The 26803-nt window shown below is 41.8% G+C and overlaps 1 protein-coding gene across 5 annotated transcripts in view; it reads right to left on the reverse strand.

Annotated features, from left to right (window-relative positions):
- The window catches only part of GPM6B (glycoprotein M6B), a 167700-nt gene that overhangs the window by 108886 nt on the left and 32011 nt on the right, over positions 1 to 26803 (reverse strand). The window contains exon 1 of one of the 5 annotated variants that reach the window (XM_047442007.1): positions 9157 to 26057. The exons of the other annotated variants lie outside the window; for them this stretch is intronic. The gene's annotated coding sequence lies outside the window, so the exon portion shown is untranslated. Of the gene's footprint in view, positions 1 to 9156; positions 26058 to 26803 lie in introns of those variants that run through there. 5 annotated transcript variants of the gene reach the window in all.

The raw sequence follows: 26803 nt of genomic DNA on the forward strand, positions 1-26803 counted from the left end.
AGTTCAGTATGTCTCCTGGGGTGGGACCTGAGGATTTGCATTTCTAGCAAGTTCCCAGGTGATGCTGATGTTGCTCGTCCAGGAAGCACACTTTGAGAACCGCTAGTATAAACCCATTAGTACTACCTGAAAATTAGCTGCACTTGGAGGAATCAGAGCCTGCCTTTTGTTTATGAAGACCAGAGCATGGCCATTTGACTCATCAGTGGCAATTTTCAGCTTCTGTGAGGGATTCTTTGCTCTTGCTTCGCAAAGAACACAACAATCCTTTTGCTAACACACGGATTCTTCTAGGAATGTGCGAGCATGTGCATGGTTATGTCATAGTCTGAAATGGCAGGCCACGTTAGCGTAAAGGTCTCTCTACTCTCCTATACAAGCAGAAAATGATCTCTTTCACAACACAAGGCCAGTGATGGGGTTGTTGTAGAGGAATCAGCTATGCTCAAAGCAGGGGACAGAGAGCTATGTCCAATCTTACATTCTTGAAAGCAGATAGTAGTGGTCGTCTCTCTCCTGCTCCCATTAAATCTCCTGAAGCCAGAGTGACCATTTAAAAAGGCAAATCAGGCCGGGCGCGGTGGCTCACGCCTGTAATCCCAGCACTTTGGGAGGCCGAGGCGGGCGGGTCACCAGGTCAGGAGATTGAGACCATCCCTGGCTAACATGGTGAAACCCCGTCTCTACTAAAAATACAAAAAATTAGCCGGGCGTGGTGGTGGGCACCTGTAGTTCCAGCTACTCGGGAGGCTGAGGCGGGAGAATGGTGTGAACCCGGGAGGCAGAGCTTGCAGTGAGCCAAGATTGTGCCACTGCACTCCAGCCTGGGAGACAGAGCAAGGCTCCATCTCAAAAAAAAAAAAAAAAGGCAAATCAGGTTCTATTACTTCCCTGCCTTAAACCTTTCGAGGCTCTTAGAATAAAATTTCAAACTCTTTATCAAGCTCTGCAAGGCCTTTGAGGTTCCAGCCCCTGCCTGCTTATTGACCTCATCTCCAATCTTTACCCCCTTCTTACACTCCAAACACAGGAGCCAGCTTTCAGGTGTTCAAATACGTTACACCGGTTTCTCCATGGGGCCTTTGCAACCTGCCGTTCCCTGGGCTTGATGCTCTGCCCCAAATTTGCACCAAGTCATGCATGTCTTGGCTCAAACATCACCTCCAGCTTCTCATGGTCATGTTAACCTGTTCTAGAGACTCTCTGAACACTCTGCTCACACTCTGGAAATACCTTGTTCATTTGCCTGTTCTCCTGTCTTGTTTATTGCCTATTTCCCATCCCTAAAATGTAAGATGTGAGAACAGGAATCTTGTCTACCTTGCCCACCACTATAGGCCCAGCAACTGAAACAGGCAACTGAAACACTAAGTGGAGCATAGAGAGTGTGAAAGTGAAATACAGAACTGGGCACGTGGCTCACGCCTGTAATCCCAACATTTTGGAAGGCCAAGGTGGGAGGACTGCTTTAGCCCAGGAGCTCGAGACCAGCCTGGGCAACACAGCGAGACCCCATCTCTACAAAATATTTTTAAAAAATAGCGTGGCATGGTGGCGCATGTCTCTAGTCCCAGCTACTTGGGAGGCTGAGGTGGGAGAATCGCTTGGGCCCAGGAAACTGAGGCTGCAGTGAGCCATGATTGCATCACTGCACCCCGGCCTGGGTGACAGAGCAAGACCCTGTCACCAAAAAAAAAAAGAATGAGATATAAGAGCACAATTTTCAGTGACGATGATGATGATTTAATAGCTAATGCTGTAATAGAATAGCTCACTGCTAAGTACCAATCTGAGGCCTTTGTTTTAGTTTATTTAATCCTCATGACCCTAGGAGATAGTTACTATTACTGTCCTGAGTCTTCAGGTGAGGAAAAGTACACATGAAGAGGAATCTGCCAAAGATCACAAAGCGAGCAAGTATTAGGTTGGCGCAAAAGCAATTGCGGCTTTAGCCATCAAAAGCAATGGCCAAAACTGCAAATGCTTTTGCACCAACCTAAATAGCAGAGCTTGGCTGTGAATCCAGGCATTGAAGCTACAGAGCTTATTCTCTTAAAAGCTACAATACAATCATCTGCCTCTCAATGTCATCCTGATCTGGTTTTCCAGAAGCACAATCTGAAGGCAGAATGTTCTTCCAATTCACATAGAAACATTTTACAAATTGCTAGTTCCCCACTGCGCTCTTCAGACAAAAACACAGATTTTATGTGGAAAGTGGTTTAGTTTCTAATATCAACTATTTGAAGGAGTCTTTCATATTTTTTTTTTCAGAGAGCTCCTTTTCTCAATGTTTAAGTCCCCTTTCTAAATTGGAGCAGGAGTCTTGATTGGTTATCAATCTCTCAGTGCCTGGGTTTAGGAATGAAGGTCCAAAGCTGTGTTGTCCAACATGGTAGCCGCTGGCCACATGTCACCAGTGGGCATATGATTGGGGCTAATCCCAAATGAGAAGTGCTCTAAGTGTAAAATTTACATTGGACTTCAAAAATAATGTAAAACAACTCAGTAATTTTTTATATTGGTCACATGTTGAAATAACATTTTGGAAATACTGGGTTAAATGACATGTATTGTTAGGGCCAGGCACAGTGGCATACAAGCCTATAATCTCAGCACTTTGGAGAGGTCAAGGTGGGAGAATCACTTGAGCCCAGGAGTTTGACACCAGCCTGGGGAACATAACGAGACTTCGTCTCTTAAAAAAAAAAAAAAAAAATTAGTCAGGCGTGGTGGTACACACCTGTAGTCCTAGCTACTAAGGAGGATCGCTTGAACTCAGGAAACTGAGGCTGCAGTGAGCCATGATTGCATCACTGCACCCCGGCCTGGGTGACAGAGCAAGACCCTGTCACCAAAAAAAAAAAGAATGAGATATAAGAGCACAATTTTCAGTGACGATGATGATGATTTAATAGCTAATGCTGTAATAGAATAGCTCACTGCTAAGTACCAATCTGAGGCCTTTGTTTTAGTTTATTTAATCCTCATGACCCTAGGAGATAGTTACTATTACTGTCCTGAGTCTTCAGGTGAGGAAAAGTACACATGAAGAGGAATCTGCCAAAGATCACAAAGCGAGCAAGTATTAGGTTGGCGCAAAAGCAATTGCGGCTTTAGCCATCAAAAGCAATGGCCAAAACTGCAAATGCTTTTGCACCAACCTAAATAGCAGAGCTTGGCTGTGAATCCAGGCATTGAAGCTACAGAGCTTATTCTCTTAAAAGCTACAATACAATCATCTGCCTCTCAATGTCATCCTGATCTGGTTTTCCAGAAGCACAATCTGAAGGCAGAATGTTCTTCCAATTCACATAGAAACATTTTACAAATTGCTAGTTCCCCACTGCGCTCTTCAGACAAAAACACAGATTTTATGTGGAAAGTGGTTTAGTTTCTAATATCAACTATTTGAAGGAGTCTTTCATATTTTTTTTTTCAGAGAGCTCCTTTTCTCAATGTTTAAGTCCCCTTTCTAAATTGGAGCAGGAGTCTTGATTGGTTATCAATCTCTCAGTGCCTGGGTTTAGGAATGAAGGTCCAAAGCTGTGTTGTCCAACATGGTAGCCGCTGGCCACATGTCACCAGTGGGCATATGATTGGGGCTAATCCCAAATGAGAAGTGCTCTAAGTGTAAAATTTACATTGGACTTCAAAAATAATGTAAAACAACTCAGTAATTTTTTATATTGGTCACATGTTGAAATAACATTTTGGAAATACTGGGTTAAATGACATGTATTGTTAGGGCCAGGCACAGTGGCATACAAGCCTATAATCTCAGCACTTTGGAGAGGTCAAGGTGGGAGAATCACTTGAGCCCAGGAGTTTGACACCAGCCTGGGGAACATAACGAGACTTCGTCTCTTAAAAAAAAAAAAAAAAAATTAGTCAGGCGTGGTGGTACACACCTGTAGTCCTAGCTACTAAGGAGGATCGCTTGAACTCAGGAGTCTGAGGCTGCAGTGAGCTATGATTGCACCACTGCATTCCAGCCTGGGCGATAGCGTGAGACCCTGTCTCTAAACCAAAAAAAAAAAAATTTTAAACATATTGTTAAATTAATTTCACGGCCAGGCGTGGTAGCTCATGCCTGTAATCCCAGCACTTTGGGAGGCCAAGGCGGGCAGATCACAAGGTCAGGAGTTCAAGACCAGCATGGCCAACATGGTAAAACTCTGTCTCTACTAAAAAGTACAAAAATTAGCCAGGCGTGGTGGCACACGCCTGTAATCCCAGCTACTCAGGGGGACTGAGACAGGAGAATGGCTTGAACCCGGGAGGCAGAGGTTGCGGTGAGCCGAGATCCCACCACTGCGCTCCAGCCTGGGCGACAGAGTGAGACTCCATTTCAAAAAATAAATAAATTTTAAAAAGTTAATTTCACCTGATTTTATCCATTCAAATAATTTTCAATAGGCTGCTAACCTTAAAAAAGTTACATATGTGGCTCACATTTCTATCAGACAGTGCTGGTCTAGAATACTCTAGAATAGTTCATATTATATAAAATATCTAGCATAGTTCTCCATGTCAGAAATATATACTTTCTCAGTCAGGTTTTTATCTGGAAACAAATATTAGATTCCTCTAGACTCTGAATGACAAATGAATTCACCAGGCCTCCTCTGACTTAGCCAAATGCACAAGATTACATAATCTGATGTTCCTCATCAGTTTCAAGAGTAGTGAATGGGGTTGTCATAAACCATTGTTCTGAAATAAAGAGAAAATGTTTTTAAGGACCTATCAATCGATAATGCAAACTCTCTAACCTAAGGATTCTGCAGATTTTACCTCACTTTTATTTACTCTCATGAAAAGATTCTGGAACCATGGCGTAAGAAGAAATAATAAGCAGTCTCCATTTTCTTGCCACATTTTCCCCTGAGAGCTACAAAATAATGCAGCATGTCATTAAGTGGGTTGAGTTTTCCCATAGACATCAGATAATTAAACCTGGGTTCCTGACCAAGGACTCCAGATAAAAGAGACAAAGATGCAAATAAATGTGACAGAAGGAAACATACAACCTCTAGCTTGTGTAAGTATTTGAAATATTGAGAGAAGGTCCTATGTAGTGATGGACTCAAATGACACGACCCAACAGAGCACACGGCCTGCCCAAAATTTATAGGAGAGAAAACGAAAAACCCAGAAAAAGGGGTAGAAAATAACATTTGTTGGGCATCTCTATATATTCTTCATATGTCACCTCATCGAGGGAGACATCCAGTAATTTCTTAGTACAGGAAGGCATCTTGTTCCCCAACTCTGCATTCCCAGAACAGGACATTTGAAAACAACTATCTGTACCACTTTTCTTACAAAGTCCTAAACTGTGCATAAGTAAAATTATCAAGTATACACGGAGGATTGGTTTACTATAAAGTATATAGGTATCATATAAAAAATAAAATTTCATTGTGACTTTATTTCATCCCAAACTAACATATTAGATAACATAAGCACCAAATATTCCATTAATTATCTTACTTGCCACCTTAGAAAAAGGAATTCTTAGCTGTTCAAATAGATGTTCAGGAAGTTTAAGCTCAATCTCTCTCTTTTTTTCCTTTTAATCAGTTTGCCCCTGGCAAATAGAAGCATTCAAAAATGACATCCCCAAAATTAACCCTTACAGTTTCTCAATAGTGAAAGAAGGCATGTAAAGTCTGATTGGGGTGAGCGGGCCAGGACTCCTAGAGGTGGCCCTGGCCTCCATCCTATACCCTGCTACTTCTGGCCCCTCCTCCTCAGTGAAATCTTCAGAGGCTGGTGGAGGATGCCCAAGTGATGGCAGGGAGGTGCCACCCGCTTCGGAAGGATGCAAAGGTCTTTTGTATGAACAACAACCCCCCGTCCCCGCCCCACCAAGGGCCAGGCATCTTGTGGTCCCACCCCCCTCCATCTTAAGTCACTGCTGCAGACAAGCGTGATGGATGGTGCCTATGAAGTACAGTCAAGGCAGTCAGTGACCGCAAGAATGAGCGGAGAAGCAAAGGGTGCGTGCCAGGGAAACAAGGCTGCCTTAGAGAGGAAGTCTGATAGTATTTTATGTTTGAGTTTCGAGTGGTTTTAGTTTTTCACTCCTACTGCTTTCCAATGTTATAATGGCTCCAAATGAAAAACTGACATATCTTTTTGTTAAGCTAAAACACAAAGAACGAATGCCTAAGAAGCACAAAATGTATACGTATGCTTTTGCGATATACTTGTAATATGTTAAGTTAGCAACAGAAATAAAATTTTGACCTATCTACCACTTTCTCCTGATTCTACAACACCTAAGCATAAAACACATTCATTTTTTTCATTATGTGCTGCAAAAAGACCTCACTGAATTAGCTTTCTACATATGCAGGGATGCAAATGTATTCAAATCTAAGCTAATGAATCAGAAAGCAAAATCTCTCTGAAGTTTCACGTTTAATCAATGATTAATTTAACCCAAATGCCTTTAGGAACTCAATTGCTATCTTTGTAGGCTACTACATTTTTCTCCAGTGAAATCTGAAAACATTTCCCCTAAATCCTGCATTTTTTCATCTTTATGTTTATAGTACTGTGAGTATCAGGATAGAGTTACTTTACTTGAGTACCTGAAAAACGCTTCCACACAAAGGCAGTATTTATAAGTTCCCAGCACTATGGACATTACAGGGCATGGAAGGGATAGAGTCCCTATATAATCCCAGTCATTCCACACCTCTATACCCGAATTTCAAGACATTTCCTCTCTTAGCCTACATGAAAAGAGGCCACAAAACCCTAAGCAGTCGTTCTTCTGCTGACATGGTCACTTCCCCAGCCCTGAACAGGACTGACCATCAACATCAAACCAAAGAGAATGACATCTCCTAAGTGCCACCTCTCTCTACCTTAAGTCACTACTAAAAAAAAAAAAAAAAAAAAAAATCTAGAAACTCTTGTTCTCAGTGTTTGATGTATGATGTTGGGTACCAGTCTACAAATGCCCCCTCTAACACAGCCTTCATCTTTTTGTTTTGGAGATGGAGTCTCACTCTATCACCCAGGCTGGAGTGCAGTAGCATGATCATGGCTCACTGCAACCTCTGTCTCCAGGGTTCCAGTGATTCTCCTCCCTCAGCCTCCCGAGTAGCTGGGACTACAAGTGCATGCCACCATAGCCAGCTAATTTTTTTGTATTTTTAGTAGAGGTAGGGTTTTGCCATGTTGGCCAGGCTAGTCTCGAATTCCTGACCTCAAGTGATCTGCCCACCTCGGCCTCCCAAAGTGCTGGGATTACAGGCGTGAGTCACTGTGCCTGGCCCGAGCCTTCATCTTTGAACGACATTAACTGCCATCCTATCCATGCCAATCTGTCCACTGATAAATGCTTTGTGTTTTCCCTGCTGGTAACAATGACAAAAGATAACCTCAAATGATGAGGACTAAAGAGGGAAGAGTTAAGTTAATCACTTTGGGTTTCTCCTTCAGGAGGGCCTGTAGGGACATCTTGGGGGAAGATACAGAAAAGCATGTTGGAGTGAATAGCATGGCATACCATCTTGATTACACAAGACACACTGGTAACAAGAGGACACCACATCTCTTCCAGTGGCTGCAGAGGCAACAGCGTCCACAGGAAAGTCTCAGAAGCCCACCAGTCTGTTTTTACCACAGACCAGTCACAGATTTGAGCCTCCTGGGCTTACTTTCCTCCTTGAAGTTATAATTAAGTGGGCTGCGTTTTCCCACAGACATTAGATAACTGAGCCTGGATTCCTGACCAAGGACTCCAGATCAAAGAGACAAAGATGCAAATAAATGGGACAGGAGGAAACATACAACCTCTCCCCTCTGTAAGTATTCAAAATACAGCCATTTGCAATGGAGGGAGAAAAGAGTGGTGGTTTTTAAGGAAATTAGACTTAAAGTTGGCTGCACTTAGAATCACCTGGGTAGAGTTTCATAGTCTCTCACTAGGCTGCACCCTAGAAAAATTAAATCAGAATTTCTGCAAATGGAACCCAGAGAGCAGTCGCTTGCAAAGCTCCTCAGCTGATTCCAATGTACAGTGAAGTTTGAGAACCAGTGGGATATGGGCATCTCAGAACTACTGAGGATTTTTTGTTATAAAATGGGCTCTTCTCCACCCCTCCTGATTCTGCTATGACCCACCCAGCTTAAAAAGACATACAGCTGGCGCTAATTGCAGAATTTTATATTCTATGGGTGTGTTGAGGACAGAAAAACAGATTGAGAACCACTGAATTAGATGATCCCTAAAGACACTTTCAGTACCCAACTATTTTTCAGTGATTCGAATAGCATCTCACATAATCTATGGAATGTTATAAACACCAACGGAAAACGTCATGGTTTGGGAACATTTCTTTATGCAGCCAGGGCTTATTATAAAGCCCACTTTCTTGCAGAAGCCATTTGGTTAACAAGCTTGGTATTTAAAAGGCTTTCAATCATAACAGATCTTCCAATGTACATGCAAAACTCTGGAAGGGAAAATTAATTACCTTCCATTTTCTTTCACTCAAAGCCTCCGAGGATATAGAGAAACACTTACACATTTCTGTTTCGCCCTAGTAAATGAAATCAGAAGCTGCATCTGTCACATGGTTTCTAACTGAGCCAGTATTTGGCGGTTCAAACTCTGTCCTCTCAGCCATTTCTGTATTCTTTGTTCAGCGGCTCTGTGCACACTGCCGCATTATGCCCAGGCTCTCGGCGAGGGCAAACAGGAAATACATTCTTTTCTCTAGCAGAAAAAGATGTAACTTGTCTTTTATTTTTCTTCTGCATGAGACAAGACTATTTTATTCTATCCATTTGGTTCCTGCAGTCCCTCGCCACCACCAACCCCCACCCCCTTTTTTTTCCTGTTTTGTTTGGTGGTGAAAAACCAAGACTAGAAATGAAGTAGAAAAAAAATGTTTTTTTGCCTTTTTCCTCTGAAGCCAATGATCTAAAATAGAATCACAACTGATTCTGATGGTAACAATACCGCTTTCTCTGTAAACTATTTTTGCATTGCAGACCTCTCTCTGCCTCCAGAAATATACAACACTTTCCTTCATTGCGGAGTCAACAGCTCTCTAGGCCAACTAGAACAATGGGCTTTTAACTAGAAAGGAACCTGTAGGTTTCTCAGGCTTGAATATACAAACAATTTACCTGGGGCCTTTGTCCTGGGACATTTTGAGAAGCAAGGAGTTACACGGTGGTTTTCCGTCTTGATGCACGTTGGAATTAACTGGAGACCTTTATAAACTACTGATGCCCAACCCCACCGCAGATCAACAGAACCTGAAGAACCTGAATCCTTGTGATGTGGCCATTAATAATTATAAAACTACTCCAGGTGATTCTAATCTAAGCCAATTCCCAGAGAATAACATCATAAAATAGTACTTAGCCATAACCTCTCCATTCCACAATTCCTCCAGTAGCAAAGGGCTAGGAGACAGATGATACTAAATACAAATGTGTGGATAATGGCTAATTCCTGTTCCTAGGGAGGTTAACATATGTACTAGTAGTAAAACCACCTACCCAACAAATATCTGTGGAATGCCTACTAAATCCCAGGAAAACTGTGCTGGGCATTGGGAGTACCATGAAGAATAAAACAGACTTGGTTCTTACCTTCATGAAGCTGACAGTTTAGTGGGGAAAGGCATACTCAAATAATCACATAAATCCATGTGATTTCAAGCCACGGTGAGTGCCAAGAAGGAAACGAACCTAGGATGCTAAGAACATGGAGCAGGGATGGTTTCACATTAGATGCAGGCAAGCATATGGTTTATGGTTCAACCAATGATCTCAGAATCATGGTTTTTTTTAAAAAAAATTGTGGTAAACTATACATAACATGAACTTTACAGTTCAGTGGCATTAACGACATTCACAAAGTTATGTAACTCTCACCACCCATTTCCAGAACTTTTTTTTTTTTATCACCAGAAGCAGAAAATCTGTAACCATGAAATAACTACTCCCCATTCCCCCTGCCAATCACATAATTTTTTTTTTAACTGAAAAGGACTTTGGAAGCTTGTATTTCAATAGCCTAATTTTACAGGGGAGGAAGACTGACTTTCCAGTTCAGAATACTTGCGACAGTAGTGTGTTGTAAAACAGAATTAGACATGAAAGAAATGCTATTAGCTACGTGCTATTGTCAGAGGCATGTGAACCAGAGCAACTCCATCTTAAATAGGAGCTGGGTAAAATGAGGCTGAGACCTACTGGGCTGCATTCTCAGATGGTTAAGGCATTCTATGTCACGGGATGAGATACGAGGTCGGCACAAGATACAGGTCATAAAGACCTTGCTGATAAAACAGGTTGCAGTAAAGAAGCTGGCTAAAACTCACCAAAACCAAGACGGTGATGAGAGTGACCTCTGGTTGTCCTCACTGCTACACTCCCACCAGCGCCATGACAGTTTACAAATACCATGGCAACGTCAGAAAGTTACCCTATATGGTCTAGAAAGGGGAGGCATGAATAATCCACTCCTTGTTTAGCATGTAATCAAGAAACAACCATAAAATGGCTCTATGGAGTAGCCATTCTTTTATTCCTTCACTTTCTTAATAAACTTGCTTTCACTTTACTCTATGGACTCGCCCTGAATTCTTTCTTGCATGAGATCCAAGAACCCTCTCTTGGGATCTGGATTGGGACCCCTTTGTTGTAACACTATTAGTTAGTTACTCTCAATAGTCATTGAAGAAGGAAGTGTTGAACTTCCCAGCCTTTTGAGGGCAGGAGTGAGGTAAGCTATACCAGGGTTTCTGTCTCAGCACCATCGATACTTGGGGCCCTTTCATTCTTTGCTGTGGGGAGCTGTTGCACTGTAGGATGTTTAGTAGCACCCCTGGACTCTATCCACTTAATTCCAGTAGCACCCCCAACTCCAGTTGTGACAACCAAACGCATCTGCCAGATGTCCCCTGGTTGAGAACTGGTGAGTTAGAAGGATGCTCTTTCTTCAAGGGCTGAAGAACTCAGCTCAGATTGACCTAGGACCAAAAAGAAGACTTATCTTCCCTTTTAAGAGAACAAATCCGATTCTTACACCTGTAAAGCTGCAATATAACCACAATGGTGCATATTGAGACCATCTGAGGCGTTTAAAAAACTCCCTAGGCTCAGATCACACTCCAGACCAGTTAAACCAGAATCTCTGAGGGTGGGGCTCTGGCATCAGTAGTTTTTAAAGCTCCCCAGGTGATCCCAACGTGCAGCCAAGGTTGAGAGCCACTGAACTAGTGTTTAGATTGATGCAAAAGTAATTTCAGTTTTTGCCATTACTTTCAAAAAAAAGGGCAAAAACCACAATTATTTTTGCACCAACCTAATACTTGCTATTCAAATGTGGTGGTCCATGGCCCAGTAGTCTCAGCATTACCCGGAAGGTCATTAGAAATCTGGCCCCACCCCAGACCCAACAAATCAGAATCTGCATATTAACCAGACCCCCAGGTGATTCAAATACATTTTAAAGGTTGAGAACTGCTGCTCTGGAATTCATAAAAAATAGTGCTTTCGGAGTCATGCTAATCTTTTCTTCCAGCTTTACAAAGCAAGTCAGATAGAAACCAAAAAAAAACCAAACAACAACAACAACAACAACAAACCCTGCAAATGGTAATTTTGAAAGAGCTGCTTCTCAATTTTCTTCCTCTCAGCCCAGGAGGCCACACTTTTGGGGGCGGAAACACAGAGGGAGAAATGTGGCATGTTCGCCATTGTGGACATTTGTCTGAGCTTGCAGTCCCCAAAAGGGGAACCGACGCACTGCTATGTGTCCGTGGGTGTTTAATATTTGGTGGCAGGCTCACCCACCCAAATGTGAGAACAAAGTGTGTTTCCTCAGCATTGGGGGAAATTGATCCCCTAATCAGTTCATATGATTTAAGTCTGCTTGTCTCTAGGTTTTGCAAAGCAGTGAGGCTGGAGGAAGGCAAGGAGGGGAAGATTAGAACAGTAAGGGGTGAAGCAAGGGGTTACAGAGAGCACGGATGCACTGCTGTACTCAGGGCAGGGAAAAAACAGAAGAAAAGTATGCCAGTCACTGCATAATGAATTCTCCACTGGCTGCCAAATAGGAGTCACAGAACAATGAACAATCTGAGCAGCTTCTGTTCCCACAATGCAGCCTTGTGAAAGTCCACAGGCAGAAAATTCTGCCTACCATGCACTGGGCATGTTTCTTGCTGGGCTCGGCTCTAGACCTGGACAGCAAATTGTGTACCTAAGAAGCATTTCATTTCAGGGCCAGAAAAATGAACATTTGAACCTCCTGTCCAGCATAGCTCTTGGTGCTATGACAGAATTTCTTTTTCTGGAAATCCCTTTCTCAAGGAAAAGCGAGCGTTCAAAACAATAGCGGTTGTCCACGTAGCTGAATATTGACATAGTAAAATGGTATCAAGAATCTCCTAGGCACAGCTGGAGGATAATCATGTTGCCTTTGAGTGTTCAGTCATTATTTGTCTACTAACTTGACAAATCATGTCAGTATTCTCCATAAATATGCTCTCACATGGACTAACATAGATCATAATATTTGCGGGTTTTGCCATTACTTTTAATGGTAAAAGCCACAATTACTTTTGCACCAACCTAATACAACACACACAATCAATTTCTGTCCATGCTTATATACCAAGTGGCCTACCAAAACTGTCTCCAAACTGACATTTTGAGAAGTCCAAGAATACTCACTTCTTCAGACAAAATCTGTTTTTTGTTTTGTTTTAATAGATGGGGTCTCACTGTCACCCAGGCTGGATTCAAACTCCTGGGCTCAAGTGATTCTCCTGTCTTGGCCTCCCAAAGTAGCTGGGACTACAGGCACATGCCACTGCTACTGGCAAAATCTGGGGTCTTAATACTGTTTACCCAGTAAATACAGGGTGAATTATCATTTTAGTCCCTCCTCTGAAAAGCTCTTTGCAAATAACAAAATCTTTACCTGTAATCTCAGCACTTTGGGAGGCCGAGGCAGGAGTACTGAGGTCAGGAATTCAAGACCAGCCTGGGCAAGATCCCATGTCTCTACAAAAATAAAATACCTTCACCGGGTATGGTGGTGCATACCTGCAGTCCCAGCTACTTGGGATTGCTTGAGCCCAGAAGTTGAAGGTTACAGTGAGCTATGATTGCACCATTGTACCCCATCCTGGGTGACTTGAGCAAGACCATGACTCAAAAACAAATACATAATAAACATTTAAAAACCATTGTTAGCTTGTGAGCTGTTCAAAAACAGCGGGCCAGATTTGGTCCATGGGTCATGCTTTGCCAAACTCTGATCTAGACGGCCATTTTATGATCAGATTTCATCCCTAAATTACATACCTGAATTGGCAGTTGTGTTTATCATAACTTAATATCAAGTCAAAGATTTTCAGTACAAATGTAGCATTTCTTAAACATGGTCTCAGGGATCTCCAAGATCTCACATCTAAGAACTCCATCTTAAAAGCATATAATTAATTATCTTAGTTTCTCAAATGACTAGATTTTCCTCCTAGGTTAAATTAAATTACCTACAAGCACGAGACGGTGTGGTGGTCACACTGAATCTACAAAAAAAAAAAAACATGCTTCCTGTCAAATATTGGCTTCCGCCTTCTCTCTGACCAACACATTAATGGAGTTGATGACAATTTATATCATGTACAAGCTTAAATTTCATTTCTTTTCCCTGCTCTGTATCTGAGGGCCAATCTTAATGAAAACCAATGGTCAAATTTGACTGAATGGCCAAAGCAGCAGCCAAAACGAAGAAAGACATCAGGGACCACAAAATGCTGTGTGTGTCCTGAGTTACTGAGTTACTGGATAGCCCATGGTTTTTAATACCCCACAAATAAGGGCTCATACACCAAAAGTCACCTACTAGCTCGTATCTTTACTTTCACTCATAAACTAGAGTTCCCCAAGTCACTGAAGGGAAGCCTTCCACAGATCTGGTTTATTTTCTTCACTAAAAGTAATTGAGCCTGGTGCATGTATGCCTTTGCCATTAGGGTACTATGCAAGAGAAGAGAATTTGCCTTCTGTGCAGAGATGTTGTAAACGGATGGAGGTCTCCCTCCTCTTCTCCCAAGGGGTCTTAAACATGCCTGGAGGTTTAGAGTAACAGGCTGAAACTCTGCAGGGCATTCCTTCTCTCCACATCCTCAGAGACCTCATGGGGAGAACTTGCTGGCGCCAGGCCTGGATCCTCCCTGGGATAAGCAAAGCTGATTCCAAGACGGAAACTCACTGTCACTTGGGAAAAGGTTGTCTCTCTAGGACATCTCAGGGAACAACACTCACCGTTTCCACATACGTAAGGAAGACAGGGAAGCAAAGCCCAGACACACTGATCCCCTCCAGGTGACCCCAAAACATTTCAGTCCACTAAGCCTTTAAATGAGCCCACAGATCAAACGGATGTGCATCACAGCCACTGTATGAATGACACAGAACCCCTCCTCTTCAAACTAGAACCTCTTAGATCGAAGACTTGAAAAAAACTATGCAGTATTATTGTGGTAAATCTGGACATAATACTGTGAAATCTAGCTCATCAGACAAGCTAGACAATAGAAGTTTATCAAGCAACCTTCACCACATTTGATCTCTCTTATGTGAATTTGTATAAGGCAGGTTTTTTCAGCCATGGATCTTAGGTACATTTCATTTACTATAGGGTTAGAAACGAATATTCCTATTTAGCATATTTGTCCTCTTAAAATAGTTGAGTCACAGGCTGAGGTATTTTATTGTACCTTGTTACAAATTAAATCATAGCCTCACACACTCATTTGCTACCGATTATTTACAAGTGAAACAAAAATTCATAAAACCACATAAGAAAGAATACAGGAGATCAAACAGTTGGTTAAAAATAACGTTGGGTTCTTTTCTAAATAGCAATTTGCTATGGAACCACTTTACATGTTATATCTTGCATCTGCAACAAAAGGGTCTGCTGTTTTTAACTCATTTTAAGGATGAAACATAAATCTGCTAAAATGTGGAGGTTTATATAAGCAGAGAACCAAAGCAGGCCTCCCATACACTCCCCCTATCTCTTATCCTCTCTGACAACTGTTCAGCCCTAGGAGATATAAATGACAATAATAAGTAAGTCGCAGTCACTGTTCTCCCTGAAACATTACGACATCATTTTGGTGAGTAAAAAAGCTCTTCATTCCTTGCCAAGTGAATATTTTCTTTTGAGGGTTTTTCTCATAATGGGAGAGATCTGAATTTGAGAGTGTCTACTGGGGCATCTCAGCTGATGCTCTGCTTTCTTTGTAGCTTCTAAATATATCCACATAATCACAACAGCCCAGGGGGACCATAAGCTCCTTAGCATCTTTCTGCTATGATCCTATCCCTCAGTAAGGCATTGACAATGGCTACAGTAAAACCCGTAAATCTAATTTTTGCAGAACATAATAACGACCTGGTACTTTTTTTTTTCATTTTTAGTTGTTTTAAGATTTCTAAGCTTGTGTTGAAACATGCTGCTTCATTTCCCTAGAGGAGAATAATTCCTTTAGCAAAATTCTTAGGTCAAGCCCGTGTGTATTTTGGAATAGACCAAAAGCTGGGGGTGGGGGGTGAAAAAATCCACAAAGAACAACATATTCTGGGGAAAGAATTATATAGCCAGTTATTAATAAACCTTTCTGGAAAGTGACTAGTGTAAAACAGAATTTTCCTGACTGTATACTAAGGACTGCTAGTTCCATGAGATTTTTATAGGTATTCAACAGTAAAGTATGTTTGAAAAGTGACTCAATTTGTATCTCTATCATAGGAAACAATAATGAATGTTAGAACATCAGCTGTAAAAAATCATTTTAATAAATCTTGATGTTTTAGACACTTCTATGACCTCAAAATCCTCATTTCTTTCCAATAAATACCTGTCCATATCTTGAGATCTAGGTGTCTGGTTCTTGGGGCAGAAACAGTAGGATACAATTAGCATTTTTGAAAATCTTAAAATTAGGGCTTTAGAAAAATCTTAAATATGGGACTGGGCATGGTGGCTCACTCCTGTAATGCCAACATTTTGCGAGGCCCAGATGGGAGGACCACTTGAGCCCAGGAGTTCAAAACCAGCCTGGGCAACATAGTGAGACACTGTTGCTAGAAAAACTTTTTTTTTTTTTTTTTAATTAACCGTGTGTGGTGGCATACACTTGTAGTCCCAGCTATTTGGGAGGCTGAGGCAGGAGGATCTCTTGAGCCCAGGAGGTCGAGGCTGCAGTGAGCTATGATCATGACACTGCACTCCATCCTGGGTGAGTGTAGTGTCATAATCATAGCTCACTGCAGCCTTTTTTTCTCCTTAAAAATAAAAGAAAAAAATCTTAAGTATGGTGCTTATGAACAAAAAAGTAAATAATATACAGCTAGAAGACAGGTAGTCCATCATTTTAAGAATTAAGAGAAATGAGACCTCCATATGGCTAGAAAAATAACAGAAAGAACTACCATGACTCCTATGAAAGGTGTCACCCCAAGTTGAAGGGTTACTGGTGTGAAATCATATCCTGCACAGAGACGAAAAACAGAGCCAGCTGTTCAGAAAACACATTATGCCTAGATATTAACCCTCATGCTTATAAAAGCTACTTTTTAATGCAAGAATTAAAATGTTCCTAAGTAATATTAGACAGAACAACATGAAATTGCTAGTTTTGTAGGTAAAACATGGCCCCATATTGACAATTTCTCTCTTTTTTTTCAAATTGAGACAGAGTCTTGCTCTGTCGCCCAGGCTGGAGTGCACAGTGGTGTGATCTCGGCTCACTGCATCCTCTGCCTCCCAGGTTCAAGTGATTTTCCTGCCTCAGCCTCCCAAGTAGCTGAGACTACAGGTGTGTGCCACCACACCCAGCTAATTTTTGTATTTTTAGTAGAGACGGGGTTTCACCATGCTAGCCAGGCTGGTCTCGAACTCCTGACCTCAGGTGATCCACCTGCCTCGGCCTCCCAAAGTGCTGGGATTACAGGCATGAGCCACCGCACTCTGCCATATTGACAATTTCCTATGTTTGCTCTAACACAGGAATTACATAGAGATAGAAGACAGGGTAATCTAGAGTTTTAAAAATTAAATAAGAGAAATTGTGATGGTTCAGTTCATTAACTTGATTTTACCCATGGAAACACAAATAAAGAACATTTATTCCAGATGACTGAGTCAACTGCTCAGCAGACATGTTTTCATTTGTAGAAAAAGTCTGTGTTTGCTTGTGTTAAGTATATACAATACACAGACTCAACACAATTGGGCTCAGTCTGTAAAGTCCCACTGGCCTTGAGATTTGTTAGAGTTGTGTACTTTAGATACTTTTCTTCTTCAGAGTCAACACATTTTTAAACCACCTTAATTGACCCAACACACTTTTTCTCCCTTCTGTGAATGGATCAGTATTATCCAGGTGACATTTACTTACTGTCATAATATCTTCCAAGACAGACTGTGGTTAAACTCACAAATACCTCCCAGGAGCAAATTGCATCTTAATAAATTTCATTTAACCTGAGAGTAAAATTATACTTGACAGAAAAAAAGCTCTCAAACAACCCTTCTTCAGATGAGCTACTTTTATCTCTTGCTACTGTTTTAAATTATTCATATACAAACTGACTATATTAACACATTAAATAATCCAGATGCTGCCACATGTACATCCCATGAAACAGGAATGGTTTGTTAATAAGCATACCTAGATCTACGCATCAATCTATCTGTTACTCTCTGGAGGGGAAAATCCTCCACAGTGAATTCTTGATTATTTCTGTTGTTTGAAAGAATCTTCAATCTGTGGATAATATTGCACTACTTCCCTACCCAGCTGCAAGTCATATTCAGAAGGCCAAAGGAATGTCCCAAGTTTGTTCCAAAAATGTCCAGATGGGCTCGCTCGAACACCACTCCAATAAACAGTGCCAGCCAGGCGTACACAGCCTGGTCAGCCCACCCAATTCCTGCCCAATAAGGGACAGGCATTCCCATCCTTCAACCAGCAGGGTCTCCTTTGCTACATGTAAATCTCCTCTGACAGCTCATGACTCCAAAAGTGTTTTCCTTTTAATCTGCTTAACTGCATTTCTTTATATTACAATTAACTTACTTCCCCATATCAGTTAGAGTAATCTATTAATGTCAACTGCAGAGCTTGACCACTACAAACTATTTGGGGCTATCACATTGAATTGAATATCACTCTTGCCAAGGAGAGAGGGTATCTGTATTTGTCCATGCTGCTTTACTGGGAGTAAGTGTGTGATTTCCTTTAGGCAAGGGTTTCCAACCTCAGCACAATGGATATTCTGGGCCAGATAATTCTTTCTGATGGGGGCTGTCCTGTGAATTGTAGACTATTTAGCAGCATCCCTGGCCTCCACCCACTAGATGTCAGTAGCATCCTCTAGTTATAACGACCAAAAATGTCTGCAAGACATTGCCAAATGGCCCCTGGGGAACAAATCGCTTCTGAGTGAGAACCACTGCTTTCGGCTTTCTGAAATTCTTAAAATAGTTTGAGAGCTAGTTTTAATTGCCTCTGTGTATTCTTAGGCTACTGCTGCTCAAAGTATGGTTCTGGGACCAAGCAGTGGCTGTATTACCTGGGAGTTTGTCAGAAATGCAGAATCCCAGGCCTACTTGAATGAGAATCTGCAATTTAACAAGATTCATGGGTGATGCCAATGCACATTAAAGTGTGAGCAGCACTAATCACCTTGGTTGGAATCTATAATTTAGTATCTTAGAAAGATGATGATTTGGAGCGAAAGGTGCCAACTAGGGCTGACAAGCCAGAATCATGTGTCATTCAACCATTGATTTCTTTCCATTTATGTTTGGTTTGATGTGTGCTCTTTATTTCTTTATATAGAGAAACTGGAAGAAGGGAAATCATGTGCTACCTCTGAGGCCTCGCTTTCTCACAGAGCTTAGCTCTATGTGAGTCACCTGGCTGTGTCATCCTGTCGGGCTCATCATAAGATACTAGGAATCACAGCCCAGACAAGGGGGCTTGTCTTCACAAACTCAGGTATATGCTTCTAAGGTAGCATGATACTAATTTTAAAAGCGGATCTACATATTAAAAATAACTGAAGATACAGAACATGCCTTTTCAACACAGGCAAGATCACCCCAATAGGATGAAAATGACTTCTTGAGGGGCAAAAACAACTTTACTCTTTAATGCATATAAAGCACAAATATACACACAGCACATAGACAGATATGCAGTGTATCTGGGGTGTTAAGACTGCATAGGGGCTGGGCATGGTGGCTCATGCCTGTAATCCCAGCTCTTTGGGAGGCTGAGGTGGGCAGATCACTTGAGCTCAGGAGTTCAAGACCAGCCTGACCAACATGGTGAAACCCCATCTCTACTAAAAATACAAAAATTAGCCATGCGTGGTGGTGGGCGCCTGTAATCCCAGCTACTCAGGAGGCTGAGACAGGAGAATCACTTGAACCCAAGAGGTAGAGGTTGCAGTGAGCCGAGATGGTGCCACTCCAGCCTGGATGACAGAGCGAGACTCTGTCTCAAAAAAAAAAAAAAAAAAAAAAAAAAGATTGCATAGGGAGGCAATTAGGAAAAAAAATGCTTAAAAAGTCTCCCAGGTTGTGGGGTGATAAAAAATTAAAAGGTTGAAAAAAATGGATACAAAAATGTAGCCTGGGTAAATGGATGGATTGTCAGCAGCAACCCACAGGAACCCACTAGTAGTCTATTTGTGTCAGAAGACAGAAACACGCAAGTATGGAATGGGAAAGACGATGAACAACAAGGACCAAGAACAGTCTGGAGCCCATGTTGCTGTGATCATACCTCCAGATGGGCTGCTCCTCAGTGGTGACTCGCAGCCCAGTCACTTAGGAGCTGTACGGACATTGAGCAACTTTCACTCTCTCCATGCCAAAATTCCCTACCACCCGAACAGGTTGACATGAGAATGAAATGCAGTCATTATTGGAAGGCATCCAACAGGACCTGGCATAAAGCTAGTTTTCATGAAATGTTAGCTCTTTTCCCATTAATCATCCTCTCCAGTTGTAAGATTTTAAAATGTCATTAATTTTGTTCCTTGAGCAAATCTACGCCTTCTTGTGTGGATTCTGAATAAATCATAAGTAGAACTTCATTATATGATAAAGTATTTGTAAATAGATGAGACTGTCTTATCCTGAAAATAACTCATTTAATAGAGTGAAGTTAGATGGAAGGTTTAGTCCAAAAGCTTCACACAGTCACTTGTTCGGTAATGCCTCATAGGTGGTCCTAAAAATCATCACTCTTTGCAAAATGCACAATAAAAAACACAGGGCTTATGGGAAAAATGGGGTTAGGAAAGCAACACTCAAAAATTTAATCAGTGACATTTACAAAAAGATTGCAACCTAATAAAAATAGTAGCACCATTTTACACACATTAAATAGTTAAGAAATACATAAACACAACAATAAATGTGTCACTTCGCCTAGAAAAAGGCCTGAAGTTGGCTGTGGGGTGGGTGTCGGAAGGGCTGCGGTTGGTGAGTTACTGGGAAGGGCTGGAGGGAGGGTTACCCGAAATTGGAGGGACAGTCATAACACCAGGTATGGACAGGTGTGGCTCTTAACACGCGGGGTAAACTGAGGTAGCTGTAGACATATGAGGTTGTGCCACGTGCGTGTTTTGTGTATTCTGACGTCATGTAGTTCAGGTGGGCGCAGTTTTCTGCATTCACCTAATGTTTCAGCAAGAAAAAATGGTATTAAGCAAATCCAAGATTCTGATTATGCACACATTGTTCATGGTTTCAAAGCAAGCATTACAGGAGAACTATCTGCCTGCTATATTCCAAAGCTGCTTAACTTTTAAATCTTGGATAGTCTCTAAAAAAAGCGGGATCTATTTTCTAAAGGATGTTTTAATTCAGAATCAGACCCATCAACTATAGTCTCAAGCCTGCAAACGGAACTCTCTAGCCCATTTTTCTCTGACAAGGCTTCCAACTAATAACATTTCACATCATTCCTGAGTTTCCATAGAGTTCAAGTATTTACAAAAGTCACACAACATGGTGAACGCAGGAGGAAGCTGCAGAGATGGTTCTAGACTTACAGAGAGGAGGCTATATGCAAACCCCTGTATGACTTGCAATGTCCCTTTGCCTCTCTGAGCCTCATTTATAAGATTGTTTTGAGGATCAGATAGCATATCTTGAAATTATCTGGGCCAATATTTGAAAAATATTAGTTGAATGTAAATCTGAACATAGACTGACTCACAATCATGAAGAAAGCATAATCCTTCTCTTTCTAAGAGGTAAGGAGCACTGAATTGGAAACATCCACTACTGCCTCGGCATAAATGGTCAAGTGGTCACTGAGGCAGCTAAAAAAATGCAGAGAAAATAGAAAATAAGCATCCCAAACACTAAGCTAGTTACAGACACAGGAAGATGTGAGGGAAAGCAGCCGCTTCTCCTAATTCAGAGAGAATTTCATTTTCTCCCTCAAGGTTTCATCTGCTCTCATCTCCCTGGTTTCTTGTGTTACCATCTGGAATGCCCCACTTCCTTGTTTTTTTTTTTAAAAAAAAAGGACTCAAACTTCCAAGTCTATAAAAATTATTCTTGCTCAATCCATTCCTTCTGTCGTGGTGTTTGAAGGAGCTTCAGAGTCATCTGACTTGGTTTCACTCTCCCCCTAAACCTGCCAGGGATGAGGACCAGTTGTTCCTAAAGTCCAGCCAGCCAGACAAGGTCACACGGCAAAATCCAAAAATATGTGCTTCCTTGTACTGGGGACTCTGGGTTCAAGTCTGCTACTGGAGTAGAGAACACACACTTGTACCTGAAGGATGCAGATCATAAGAACCTGGCTGTGAACTTGGTGAAACTGAGCATAGGGCCCCTTCAGTAAATTCTCCTATTGATCCCTACTCAACCTAGGACTACAAGTTGGACCTCCAGGGAGCTTTCCCAACCAAGAAAGAGATGCTTTGAAATCCTAAGTCTACCTGCTGATTTTATTTGTCATTACAATTAAATGACCTCTAATGTTGTTTTATTTTAAAAAAAGAATTGCTAAGTGTCACATAGAAGCAAAAAGTGACAACACAAAGTTACACTAAAACTATACACTTGTATAGTTCAAGTTTTGGCATTTGTTGGTCTAAATTCATAATTCCTATATGATCATTAAGTTTGTAGCAGAAGCAGAATATTAGTTGACTATGGAACAGGAGTATAAGTGTGTGGTTTTCCTGGCAGACTCAGTCTACCATCTCTGAGTTTGAATCTTCTTTAACAAAAATCCTTTGCTACAGAAATACAAATAAGATCCCATTTAGTAAGGTCTTTACTCCTTTGTGACAATGGGTACCTTCAAAAGCAACTGGGAAACACTCCATGCCTTAAATACACGAATGTTTACCCTCGCTCAATTTGTCAATAAAGGCAATTCCATAAATGTGGACTGGATTTTTTTTTTTTAGCATTTACGTTGATTATTTCATTTGACCGTTTCAGCCCTCTAAGCTAGACATAGCATGTTTCCCCCATTGCATTAATGAAAATGGCTTGCTCATAAAATGCTTTCTCAACATCGCCTCATTTATTCTTCAGGGAGGGTATTACTCTATTGCCAACGAAGTCACTTAAGCACACAGAGTTTAAGTGGTTTGATCTCATGATCTCATGAGACCCAGGTCTCTGCTCCTCAGTCCAGCACTCTTCTATTCTGCCACAACAGCTACCACCTGAAGGAGCTGCCCAAGAGCCAGCTGAAAATCCCTAAGGAAACCAGGAGAAGAACCACAGGCTTCTGTCTCCTACCCGGTCAGGGCTCATGACCCACACTCACAACCAAACTTCAATTCAATCACAGAGAAGCCCATCTCTCTTTATTCCCACCACCTTGGCAATTCCAATGACAGTTACTGGTGCCCACCAAAGCACATGACCTGCAGCACCACAGACAACAACAGGAGGCCCACCTGACCCAGTCTCATAAAGAAGTTACTAAAGATCAGTCTCCCTCAAGAGGGCGGGAGACTCAACGAAAGAGGACCCAGTTGGATATTAATGGGTCTATCCATAGTTTGATTCCACCAGATGGTCCTAGAACTATCTAGGAATCTCTGGGGCTGGACCCTGGGTCCTAGAAATGACCACAACCTAACATGGGTGTCAGAATCAGAGCTTCACTCGAGGAGGACCTCATTAAGGGCTAGCTGACTTAGACAGACTCACTCCCATACTTTGTTAAGGGGTCTTCTCCTGGTCCACCACAGCCCACTGTGATTCTGCAAGGTGAGAGCACCTTGACACCAGGCTTAGACATCTCCTTCCATCTGTCTCCCACGCAGGGTCTCAAGGCATCTTTGGGTTCACAGGACCACCTCAAAATCTCGATTTATACCAGGCTAACCCCCAGCGCCCAACCATCAACCAGCCCAGGCAAATACTACCTCACAGGTACTGAGCATTTGCCATGCACCAGGCACCACTCCAGGCACTTTTCTTAGAGTCAGTATATTATTTACTCTTGATGTCATCCTGAAAGGTAAGTATAATCCCCAATTTACCAATGAGGAAATTGAAGCTCAGGGAGAATAAGTATAGGCACTTGCCCAAAGCACATAGTTAGCAGAATAAACACATCAGCATTCTGCCCCTAAGCTCACGTTCATTATCATTTTACCACGCAGACTCTTGGATCTTCTCCAATGCAGGGCCAGTCTCCAGGCATGGTCAGGACAGCATAAGTTCGTCATCATGAACACCGTCATCCAACACCAATGCGTTACTCAGCGCAAGAGAAGTGGTTCCTTCCAACAAGGAATCACAGATCCATTGGATTCCAGAACTGACTCTCACTAGGGCTGAAACATAAACTAAACAAATAGAACACCCCATGAGACGGGCCGGGGGTGAATGCCTGTGTCTGGCAGCCAGGGTGGTGGAGCCAGAGGAACAAAGGACTAGGTGGACTCATGCAGGGCTTTGAAGGCTGGGTGGAATATGATATGGGAAAATGGGGTGGGGGCATCTCCGTAGAGCTAGAGATGACTGCCCCTCAGTGGCTGGGAGGAGAGGGATAGGATCATTTGAGGAAGGGGAGGTTCTCCCCATTATGAAGACACCAGTTAGACAGGGCTTCTTAGACTCCCTGGGCAGTCAGCTGAACCCTCCAGATCTCCTTTACAGAACAATGTTCTTAAATGCACGAAAAAATATACATAGCATTAGAAAGAAAACTAAATTGAAATACATCAAAATAAAAAACAAGTTTGAAATACATAATATATAATAAATATATGTAATCATTTAATTTTATATAAATGTAGAATACATATGTTCTGTTAATGCTAGTGGAGGTATAACATACACTTCCAAAGTAGTGATGAGTTTAATGATATTTTGAGATACCTGCAATAACTGTAATGGGATATGAAATTACCTTTGATTTCTATTAATGACCAAAGTCACAAGTATTGCTAAGTCACTGGTTTGCTGCCTGTATTCGTAAGAGAACAAACGCTGTTTCAGTTAGAGGTTAGTGACAATACAGATAGATTTTTTTTCCTATCCCAATCCCTCCTGAGTTCTATCCCCCACAGTCCTGTTGGAGGCATGTGGACTCACTTGTTTGGGAGCCCTCTCTCCAGATCAGGGGTTAGCAAACTATAGCACAAATCAAATTATATCGACACAGAGCCCCACACCCATTCACTTCCGTATCATCTAGTGCTGCTTTTGTACTACGACAACACCGTTTACTTGCAACAGATATTCACTATCTGGCTCTTTGCAGACACAGTTTGCAGACCCCTACGTTAGACAAACTAGGTGTGCTAGGAATTAAACCTCTGGGACCAGCTGGGGCTCAGGCCTGACACTCTCGGGGTATGTGTCCTGAAGAGTCCAAGCAGATCCTTAAGGTTTGACCAGGCAAGCAGTTTACACCACAACCATCCTCTAGGTGTCCTGAACTCTCTAAAACTTAAGGCTATACAATAAATTTATTTCTGGGATCAAGATAGAGTGAGGCTCAGAGCAGGCTTCCTCCAGTTCAGGCCCACATCTGCCTTCAAGAAAAATCACGCCAGATGTGGTGGCTCGCACCTATAATCTCAGTACTTTGAGAGGCCAAGGCAGGAGGATTGCTTGAGCCCAGGAGTTTGAGACCAGCCTGGGCAACATGGCGAGACCTCATCTCTACAATTAAAAAATTAGCCAGGCATGGTGGTGCACGCCTGTAGTCCCAGCTACTCGAGAGACTAAGGTAAGAGGATCGTTTGAGCCCAGGAGGTCAAGACTGCCGTGAGCTGTGATCATGCTACTGCACTTCAGACTGGGCAGCAGAGTGAGGCCCTGTCTCAAAAAAAAAAAAAAAAGAAAAGAAAAGAAAAGAAAAATTCAATTATTTGATGCTCAAAAAATCCAATTATTTGATGTTCAAAGATGTGCTATGGCCTCCAGCATACCAAATCATTCCATACTCAAATGTGGCTCTATGAAGAATTTTAGTTCTTCACACAGTTTCTTAAACTCAGTGGCTGACGTGGAATATTTCCTAAATACTATGATAAAATTACCTTTCAGAGTGAGCTACCTTGTAAAATGCCAAACTCGCCCGTGGTGCTAAGAAACGCAATGATGTAAATATTGCACATACGTAGGCCATCTGTACAACATGAAGATGACCGCCTCCAAGAAGGAGTTTTCTAGTACAACATGAAGATGACCGCCTCCAAGAAGGAGTTTTCTAGTCCAGCCAACCATTCTGCCTCTTCCATGTTGCCTGGGTAATTCTGATTTTTTAGACCAGCAATATGTGTAATTAGCTATCATAAGAGCTTCCCACAAGATAGATCAAGGTTCTACTGCTGCCTGCCTTCCCAGTTTCCTAGCCTTGTACCACATGTACTTGTTATTCTACTGCCATAAGCTTAAAAACCCCTATTTGATCTTGGATGTGAGAAGATTTGGTCTGAGCCAGTTATATCCTCCATTCGTGACACAATGGGATTAAAAAAAAAAACCCTCTGAATCCATCTTGATGCTGAATATTAAACAATAGTTCAGAATTGTAAAAAGAGGCAAGGGCTGTGTTAATTCAAGAGTCACTGGTCTCCTAAATCAATTTCATTTATACATTAATCCACCAGCTTCATAGACTTCATTTCATTTCTCCCCAAATAAAGAACATCTCGAAACCTTCAAAAACTTTAGAGAGATCAAATGTAAAGTGAAGGCTTCTTCTTTTGAGAATCTGAACAGCTGTTGTGGCCGAATTGTTTTTCTTCACCCCCTTTCACTGGGTTTTCTCTCCAGCAGCTGCTTTTGTTTTTTGTTCATGCACCTCCTCCCACTTCCCCTCCCCTAACCAGTTACAAAGTTGGGGGCTAGGGAGCATGCTGAAATACAAAGCACTGCTTGTTACAAATTTGAGTAAGTCTGGGCTAATAGCCAAATTTAATTCTAAAGACCCATTTTGGAGGCTCAGCACTAAAATGGAATCCAGTATAGGTCTGGCTGTTTCTAGGACACCATGTCCCTATTGGGGGAAGGGGGTGGGGAGGATAGCTGAATTTGACTCTACTGGTCACTAAGTATTGGAGATTTGATACATTTTTTCTTTAACGGCTACCCATAGAGCTAGGCTGTTAAAAGATTATCAGTTTGAAATAATTGTGATTAGATGAAATTTTAAACTCAATGGATGTACTCTATATCACTCATGTTGTAACTCATATCTTTCAAACCACAACCTAA

This window comes from Homo sapiens, chromosome X (assembly GCF_000001405.40).
Source record: "Homo sapiens chromosome X, GRCh38.p14 Primary Assembly".
In the NCBI taxonomy this organism is placed as follows: domain Eukaryota; kingdom Metazoa; phylum Chordata; class Mammalia; order Primates; family Hominidae; genus Homo; species Homo sapiens.